The sequence below is a fragment of the Homo sapiens genome, chromosome 11 (assembly GCF_000001405.40).
Source record: "Homo sapiens chromosome 11, GRCh38.p14 Primary Assembly".
Lineage (NCBI taxonomy): Eukaryota > Metazoa > Chordata > Mammalia > Primates > Hominidae > Homo > Homo sapiens.
In genome coordinates, this window is record NC_000011.10 from 83,437,710 (window position 1) to 83,447,543 (window position 9,834).

At 44.0% G+C, this 9,834-nt stretch overlaps 2 annotated features.

The window, feature by feature from the left end:
* Positions 701–1,201: an enhancer, noted in NCBI's record as "H3K27ac hESC enhancer chr11:83149453-83149953 (GRCh37/hg19 assembly coordinates)". NCBI's record gives its function as "activates a minimal SCP1, AML or CMV promoter by ChIP-STARR-seq in naive H9 embryonic stem cells {active_cell/tissue: H9 hESC(naive)}" and the evidence as "EXISTENCE:reporter gene assay evidence [ECO:0000049][PMID:30033119]".
* Positions 3,312–4,005: an enhancer, noted in NCBI's record as "OCT4-NANOG hESC enhancer chr11:83152064-83152757 (GRCh37/hg19 assembly coordinates)". NCBI's record gives its function as "activates a minimal SCP1, AML or CMV promoter by ChIP-STARR-seq in naive H9 embryonic stem cells {active_cell/tissue: H9 hESC(naive)}" and the evidence as "EXISTENCE:reporter gene assay evidence [ECO:0000049][PMID:30033119]".

Below are 9,834 nucleotides of genomic sequence, written 5' to 3' on the forward strand. Positions count from 1 at the left end.
AGGAGTTCAAGACCAGCCTGGCCAACATGGTGAAACCCTGTCTCTACTAAAAATACAAAAATTACCAGGCATGATGGTGGGTGCCTGTAATTCCAGCTACTATTGGGGAGCTGAGGCAGGAGAATCACTTGAACCTGGGAGATGGAGGTTGGAGTGAAAATTATATATATTATTTTATATAATACAGTTAGTCCCTTGCAATAATTTCAGACATTCCCTTTAAGCAAAGATTATTCTCCTCAGGTGAACATTCTGTCCCTCAGGTTTCTGACTGCAGTTCTGCTCCTTGCTAAGACAGCCTCTGGGTGATCGGGGCCAGGTTGTGGCTTACAGTGTCCTCTTGGCAGTGGGAAGGAAAGAGTCCTTTGGATTCACGTGGTGTCCTGAGATCATTCTGGTTGCTATGACAGTGTCTTTTGTTTCTATGACAACATCCCTTGTTGACTTGAGGGATGCTTGCCCTACTGGCATTTGTATCTGAAATCAAAACTGGTATTGCTTGCAGCCCAGTTTCTCTAGGTGTGGCAGAGGCTGCAGTGCTTCCTGGCTACCAATCTCACTCTCCGCAGAGCCTCTCATGTTCCCCATTGGTTTCAGGTTGGGGGTGGGATGGGGCGTTGGAGTAGGGCTCAGCCTTCTCTGCTAAGTCACCCCTTACCACAGGAGGTCCCATGGTTGGAATGCTGGCTCTCAGATTCAGCCACCTTCTGGTTCCCATTTTTAGGGCCCATTGGGGACTCCCAGGTTCCAACATATCTTACAGAAAGAGCAGCTCAGGAGAGCTGAGCTCTGGCTGTCCCATTCTGACCATGCTGTGCCACTGAGTTTTACTCTGATGTGGCCAATCCCCAAGTTCTTATGGACATGCTAGGGTATCTGGCCCACAAGATGAGACTTCCTCTTTTTTTTTTTTTGAGACAGTCTTGCTCTGTCGCCCAGTCTGAAGTGCTATGGCACAATCTTGGCTCACTTCCTCTCAGGGTTCCAGATAGGTCAGAGGGCTCCTGACCATGCCCTAATTGTTCTCCTCACTTATAGGGTTTCAGCCCAAGGAGAGAAACTGGAACAGTTTGTCTACCTCCCGACCTTTTTTTCCTTTCTTCTGTCCACCCTCTGCCTTCTGTAGCCTTGGATTATAAGGGATGGGCTTCTCTTTTACTTCTTCTATTTCATGGTATCTTCCTTTTTCCCTGCCTGTAGGAATTCTCTTGCCTCAGCCTCCCGAGTAGCTGGGATTACAGGTGTGTGCCACCATGCCTGGCTAATTTTTGTATTTTTAGTAGAGACTGGGTTTCACCATGTTGGCCAGGCTGGTCTTGAACTCCTGACCTCGGGTGATCCACCTGCCTCGGCCTCCCAAAGTGCTGGGATTACAGGCATGAGCCACCGCACCTGGCCTTCTACCTCTAGTTTTATGGCTCTCTAATCTACATTATAGGGAAAATTCTATATCAAGCTGATATGTTAAATGCACATAAAAATTTTAGACTTTCAGACCTATTGTCTTGCTTTCAGCAGCTATTATTTTTCTTTACATTTCTTCTTCAACAATCCAACTTTCCCTTTGCCCATCCCTTTCCCCACCTGCTGCCAGCAAAGGTAGATAACATGGCTGACTGGAGAAGTACGTGTAATGTACATGTAAGTCTATATTAGTATTTTCAAGTATTTTCTACCTTTCACTAAATAATCCTGACACAAGCAGCATGATACACAATTCATAATTTGCCTGCAGATAACTTAATCTTGTCTATTTGCTAAGGCCTTTCCAAGTATTATCCAAAAGGGAGTTGATTCAGAGCACAGAGAAAAACAGATGGGACCAGTGCATTGGCAGTGGCAGGAAGGCAGGAGGCTCAGGTCAGGTTTGATGAGCGGAAGCTAACCCCACACCTCCTGATGCCGTGGAGTGTTGCAAACCACCTGGAACCCAAGTGTCACCTGTGGAGACTGCAGGAAGCAGAGGCAAGGGGGGGTTGACAATCGTAGGTCACTGGATAAACCACTGCATTTGACTGAGTGGATCTACACACGAGTAGGGTACTTTATGAGGAAAACTGAGGGCTGACTTAATAACAATTCAAAATGATGCTACATAAACAAATTTTTACCTTCGGATTTTTTACTACAAACATTATCTCCCTCTTAAGTTGGCTTTGTTGCCCTTTATATCAATTATTCACTAGTTATTTTTCCATGCCTCAGATGTGTGAAACCCTTAAAGAATTACAATGAAGATGTTTACCATCAAGTGTGGAAAAAAGTAGCGTGAGCCTGAGATAATCAAGAGACCATTAAATGTCAGAATGTGAGAGACTTGAAGCCTCTTGAAGACTCTTTTTTCTTTTTGTTTTGAGACAGTCTCGCTCTGTCGCCAGGCTGCAGTACAGTGGCACAATCTCAGCTCACTGCAACCTGTGCCTCCCGGGTTCAAGCGATTCTCCTGTCTCAGCCTCCCAAGTAGCTGGGATTAGAGATATGTTCCACCATGCCCAGTTAATTTTTGTATTTTTAGTAGAGACAGGGTTTCACCGTGTTGGCCAGGCTGGTCTTGAACTCATGACCTCGTGATCTACTTGCCTCAGCTTCCCAAAGTGCTGGGATTACAGGTGTGAGCCACTGTGCCTGGTCTCTTCAAGATTTTCTTAAGCAGAGGGTCCTGTACTGGATCTGCTGAGTCAGAAAGAAATAAAGAGATGAAAAATGATTGGCCTCAGGTTTCTCATTGTTGGAGTAAGAGTTTACACACAAGTCAGAGGAAGAGGCTTGATTGGTCCATGTGGTGATGAGTTAGACTAGAGATATCAGTAGAAACTCATGTTTAGCTTAATATAGATACAGATGGTTGCATATATAAATGTTTCTATATTCACCAGTTACTATACACATATTCATTACCTTGCTCTGTCAACTGAGAGGATCTAGAGGAAATAATGTCCCATTAGCAAAGAACACACCTAGTACCCAGATTTTAATTTTTAATAACATTCTCCAATAAAAAAGCCTTGGAGAAATGGCTGACTCTAGGATTGGTAGGACTGGGCAAGAAATATACAAAATAAGCCTGAGCCTCTTGTAGTATAGAAAGTAAGAAAATGCTCAAAAAATCCACAATAGTGGGAGTATGTCAAAGGAGCATCAGAGTTAACTGAAAAAGCTCTCAATGGACAAAGCTGAAACAATTTGTATAGCAAAATAAAGTAGTTCTGGATTATAATACTATCAGATAAACTAAACTGCAAAACTAAACTAAATAAACTATAAAACTATCAGATAAATATCCAAGAATCCCTCTTGATAGAAACAAATTATTGAATAAATAGAGGCAAATGGACAACTCTTCCATACAGAAAAGTTTCAAATAATTCATGTAGCTACTTTGCACTTGTATTAGTCCACTTAAATACTGCTGTAAAGAACTGCCCAAGACTGAGTAATTTATAAAAGAAAGAGGTTTAATTGACTCCCAGTTTAGCATGGCTGGGGAGGCCTCAGGAAATTTACAATCATGGCGGAAGGGGAAGGGGAAGGGGAAGCAAGACACCTTTTTCACAAGGTGGCAGGAAGAAGTGCCAAGTGAAGAGGGAAGACCCCCCCTATAAAACCATCAGATATTGTGAGAACTCACTCACTAGCTAGCACAAGAACAGCAGGGGGCAACCACCTCCGTGATTCAGTTACCTCCACCTGGTCCCTCCCTTGACACGTGCGGATTATTTGCATTACAATTCAAGATGAGATTTAGGTGGGGACACAAAGCCTAAAAATATCAGCAATCAAGGATGAAAAGCATGACTCCCTACTCATTAAATGTGGGCTTCACACAGTGACTTCTTTCCAAAGAGTACAGTATGAAATGGAGGAAAAAAGAGTAACTTTACAGTAGAAAAACTTGAAAAACAGTACCTGGGCCAGGTGATCAAGGTTAGATCCACAGTAATAGTCGTGGACCCTTGATGTGGTAAGAATGGCACTTATCTACCCAAAACCTGTAATATCAGTCTAATCATGAGAAGAACATCAGGTAAATTCCAGTTGAGAGGCATTCTGTGAAATACCTGACTGGTATTTCTTAAAACTGTCAAGGTCATCAATAACTGAGAAAGTGTCAAAATGAAAAGGAGCCTAAAAAGACATAACAAAATATCACACAGTTCCCTGGTTAGAACCTTGGAAAAGTGTAAATGCCAAAAAAAATCAGAATAAATCATAGTCTTCAGTGAATAATGATATACCAACATTGGTTTATTAATTGCGACAAGATATTAACAATAGAGGAAACTGAGTTTTGGTGTGTATGGAAAGTCTCTGTACTACTTTTGCTTTCTTAATGTAAATCTAAAGCTATTCTAAAATAATGAGTTTTTTTAAAAACATGGCATGATGGGGAAAAAAATCACTGATAAATGGGAATCATTTTTTTGTATCTCTCATGTGATAAATAAGTTTAACTCTCTAAGCCTGTTTATCATTTTCACTTGCATCTGTGTGAAAAGACCACCAAACAGGCTTTGTGTGAGCAACAAGGCTGTTTATTTCACTGGGTGCAGGCAGGCTGAGTCCGAAAAGAGAGTCAGTGAAGGGAGATAGAGGTGGGGCCATTTTATAAGATTTGGGTAGGTAAAGTAAAATTACAGTCAAAGGGGGGTTCTCTGATGGGCAGGAGTGGGGGTCACAAGGTACTCAGTGGGGGAGCTTTTGAGCCAGGATGAGCCAGAAGGAGTTTCACAAGACAATGTCATCAGTTAAGGCAGGAACCAGCCATCTGGATGTGTACGTGCAGGTAACAGGGGATATGATGGCTTAGCTTGGGCTCAGAGGCATGACATTCCTGTCTTCTTATATTAATAAGAAAAATAAAATGAAATAGTGGTAAAGTGTTGGGACAGTGAAAATTTTGGGGGATGGTATGGAGAGATAATGGGCGATGTTTCTCAGGGCTGCTTCGAGCAGGATTAGGGGCCGCTTGGCAACCTAGAGTGGGAGAGATTAAGCTGAAGGAAGGTTTTGTGGTAAGGGGTGATATTGCGGGGTTGTTAGAAGAAACATTTGTCATGTAGAATTATTGGTGATAGCCTGGATAAGGTTTTGTATGAATTGGAAAACTAAATGGAATAAGAGAAGGAGAAAAACAGGTATTAAAGGTTTAAGAATTGGGAGGACCCAGGACATCTAATTAGAGTGCCTAAGGAGATTCAGCATAGTCCTGCCAGCAAAGATTATTTATTTACTTCAAGAGTTAAGAGTGGCAGTTTGGGGATAGCACCAGGAGATATCAGCTGCGATGGCTTGGAGAAACAGTGTAAACCGGCAGTGTAAACAAGAGCAGGGCATCTATGAGTAGTTGAGAATGGTGAATGGGAGTATGACTAGACAGAAGATAGTAGGGATGACAAGTTATTTGGGGCACAGTCCAAGTTGGTCTGGTGTCTGGAATGAGACTGGGGCTTAATAAAAAGGAGTGTCCATACAGGAGCTCAAATGGGCTGTACCTTGTAGCATTCCAAGGACAGGCCTGAATTCTGAGAAAAGGAAGTGGTAAAAGTATTGTCCAGTCCTTTTTAAGTTGTTGGCTGAGCTTGGTGAGGTGTGTTCTTAAAAGACCATTAGTCCGTTCTACCTTTCCTGAAGACTGAGGACTGTAAGGGATATAAAGGTTTCACTTAATACCAAGAGCCTGAAAAACTGCTTGGGTGATTTGACTAATAAAGGCCAGTCCACTGTCAGACTGCGTGGAGGTGGGAAGGCCAAACCGAGTAATTATGTCTGACAGAAGGGAAGAAATGACTGCGGTGGCCTTCTCAGATCTTGTAGGAAAGGCCTCTACCCATTCAGTGAAAATATCTACCCAGACCAAGAGGTATTTTAGTTTTCTGACTTGGGGCATGTGAGTAAAGTCAATTTGCCAGTCTTGGGCAGAGACAAATCCCTGAGCTTGATGTGTAGGAAAGGGAGGGGGCCTGAACAATCCCTGAGGGGTAGTAGAATAGCAGATGGAACACTGAGAAGTGATCTGCTTGAGGATAGATTTCTATGATGGAAAGGAAATTAGAGGTTCTAAGAGATGGGCTAGAGGCATGTAACCTACATGGAAGAGGTTATGAAATGATGACAGAATAGAATGGGCCTGTGAGGCTGGAAGGAGATATTTTCCTTGGTCTAAGAACCATTTGCCTTGTGTGGGAAGAGATTGATAGTTGGAAGTTTCAGCGGGGGAGTAGGTGGGAGTGACCGATGTGAAGGAGAAAAACTGGCCGTGAGGGACAGAAGTTGGAGAGCTAGCTGATTGTCTAGCCACCTTATCAGCATAAGCGTTGCTGTGAGAGACAGAAGTTGGAAGGCTAGCTGCTTGTCTAGCCACCTTATCAGCATAAGCGTTGCCTAGATCAATGGGATCTGACACCTTTTGATGCCCCTTGCAGTGAATGACCCCAGCTTCCTTTGGAAGTAAAGCGGCCTTGAGCAGAGTTTTTACTAAAGAGGCATTAATGACAGAGGACCCTTGTATAGTGAGGAAACCTCTTGCATGGTGGTGCAGGATATGGAAGGCATATTTAGAGTCAGTATAAATATTGACGTTTAGTCCTTTTGCAAGAGTGAGGGCTTAACTTAAGGCAATGAGTTCAGCTTGCTGAGAGGTAGTGAAGGGGGGCAGAGCAGTAGCCTCAGTGATAGATGTGGAAGATGCTATAGCATAGCCTGCCTTTGCTGGTGAGTGGCGATTAGGCCTGGTGGAACTGCCATCAATAAACCAAGTGTGTTCAGGGTGAGGAACAGGAAATAATATGGGGAAATGGAGTGAATGTCAGGTGGATCAGAGAGATACAGTCATGGGGTGTGGTATCAGGAATAATGTGGTAGGCCCGATTGAAGTCTGGACCAGGAACAATGGTAATTGTGGGAGACTCAACAAAGAGTGAATACAGCTGAAGGAGCTGGGAAGCAGAAAGTATATGTGTCAGGTGTGAGGAAGAAAACAGATTTTGGAAGTTATGAGAACTGTAGAGAGTAAGTTGAGCATAGCTTGTGATTTTAAGGGCCTCTGAAAGTATTAGGGCAGTGGCAGCCACCACACACAGACTTGAGGGCTAGGCAAAACAGTAAGGTCAAGTTGTTTGAATAAAAAGGTTACAGGGTGCGGTCCTGGTTCTTGTGTTAGAATTCTGACTGCACAGCCCTGCACTTCAGCTGTGGGTAATGAAAAGGGTTAGGATGAGTCAGGGAGAGCTAGGGTTGGGGCAGTCTCTAAAGCTGTCTTTAAGAAATGGAAAGAGGAGTGGGGAAAGGATTTAGGATCTATGGGGTCAGCTAGGTTTCCTTTTGTGAGTTTATATAATGGTTTTGTTAGGATGGCAAAACCAGATATCTAAAGTTGAAAGTATCTAACCATGCCTAGGAAGGAAAGGAGTTGTTTTGTAGAAAGGATTGAGGTTTGGGAGATTAGTCAGACATGATCAGCAGGGAGAGCACGTGTGTTCTTATGAGAATTATGCCGAGATAGGTAACAGATGAGGAAGAAATTTGGGCTTGACTGAAGTAATGGGGGCTATCTGTAAAGCCTTGTGGCAGTACAGCCCAGGTAATTTGCTGAGCCTGATGGGTGTCAGGGTCAGTCTAAGTGAAAGCGAAGAGAGGCTGGGATGAAGGGTGCAAAGGAATAGTAAGGAAAGCATGTTTGAGATCCAGAACAGAATAATGAGTTGTGGAGGGAGATATTGAGGATAGGAGAGTATATGGATTTGGCACCACGGGGTGGATAGGGAAAACAATTTAGTTGATAAGGCTCAGATCTTGAACTAACCTGTAAGGCTTGTCTGGTTCTAGGACAGATAAAATGGAATTGTAAGGAGAGTTTATAGGCTTTAAAAGGCCATGCTGTAGCAGGCAAGTGATAACAGGCTTTAATCTTTTTAAAGCACACTGCAGGATGGGATATTGGCGTTGAGTGGGGTAAGGGTGATTAGGTTTTAATGAGATGGTAAGGGGCTCATGATCGGTTGCCAAGGACGGAGTAGAGGTATCCTATACTTGTTGGTTAAGGTGGGGGGATACAAAAGGAGGATGCAAAGGAGGCTTTGGATTGGGAAGAAGGGTGGCAATGAGATGTGGCTGTATCCCAGGAATAGTCAGGGAAGCAGATAATTTAGTTAAAGTGTCTCGGCCTAATAAGGGAACTGGGCAGGTGGGTATAACTAAAAAGGAGTGCTTAAAAAGTATTGTCTAAGTTGGCACCAGAATTGGGGAGTTTTAAGAGGTTTAGAAGCCTGGCCATCAATACCCACAACAGTTATGGAGGCAAGGGAAACAGGCCCTTGAAAAGAAGGTAATGTGGAATGGGTATCCTCCATATTGATTAAGAAGGGGACGGACTTACCTTCCACTGTGAGAGTTACCTGAAGCTCGGCATCTGTTATGGTCTAGGGGGCTTCCAAGGCCATCTGGCAGCATTAATCTTCAGCCCCTAAGCTGAGAAGATCTGGGAAGGAGTCGGTCAGAGAGCCTCAGGCCAGAGTTCCAGGGGCTCTGGGAGTGGCTACTAGGTGAGTTGAACAGTCCGATTTTCAGTGGGGTCCTGCACAGATGGGACATGGCTTAGGAGGAATCCCGGGCTTAGGAGGAATTCCTTGACCTGGTGGCCAGATTTCTGGCACTTGTAGCAAGCTCCTGGGGGAGGTGGGCCTGGGGGAACATCTGGCCACTGTGGTTTAGGCATTTGGAAGTTCTTGTGTGCTGGAGATGTGGCTGGGGTTTGTCTCACAGTGGAGGCAAAGAATTGCAACTCAGAAATATGTTGCTACTTGGCTGCCTCCACTCTATTATTGTACACCTTGAAGGTGAGGTTAATTAAGTCCTGTTGTGGGGTTTGAGGGCCAGAATTTAATTTTTGGAGTTTTATTTAATGTTGGGAGGATATTGGGTAATAAAATGTATATTGAGAATAAGACGGCCTTTTGACCTTTTATGGTGTAGGGCTGTAAAGCATCTCAGGGTTGCTGCCAAATGAGCCATGAACTGGGCTGTGTTTTTATATTTGATGAAAAAGAGCCTAAATGCTCTCCAATTTGGGATAAAGAAAAAGAAGCATTAACCTTGACTATGCCTTTAGCTCCAGCCACCTTTTTAAGAGGAAATTGCTGGGCAGGTGGGGGTGGGCTACTCATGGAATGAAAATGTAAGCCTGACAGGGTGTGAGGTGGGGAGGTGATAAAAGGATTATAGGGTGGAGGAGCGGAGGCTAAGGAAGAATTGGGACCTAGCTCAGTCTGGCAAGGAGGGGAGAGGTCAGATGGGTCTGTAGAAAAGGAAGATTAGAAAGACTCAGTGACACTTGGGGTTGGGACTGAGGGGACAGGTGGGAGGGAAAGAAGGAAGATTCGGGACAAATTGCATTGGGAACAGAGACTAGGGAAGGACTGATGTGTAAAAGAAGGCCTGGGTGTCAGGCACCTCAGACCATTTACCCATTTTATGACAAGAATTATCTAGATCTTGTAGGATGGAAAAATTGAAAGTGCCATTTTCTGGCTATTTGGAACCACTGTCGAGTTTGTATTGGAGTCAAGTGGCATTGCAGAAGAAAATAAGGCATTTAGGTTTTAGGTCAGGTGTGAGTTGAAGAGGTTTTAGGTTTTTAAGAACACAGGCTAAGGGAGAAGAAGGGGGAATGGAGGGTGGAAGCTTGCCTATAGTGAAGGGGGCAAGCCCGGACAAAAGAGTAGAGACACGGAGGGAAGGGGTTTGGGGGTTCTTAACCTCCAGAAAATTAGGAAAGGGGTCAGGGCGTGGAAATAAGGGGTTGGGGTGCAGAGATAAGTGGTCAGGGAGCAGAAATAA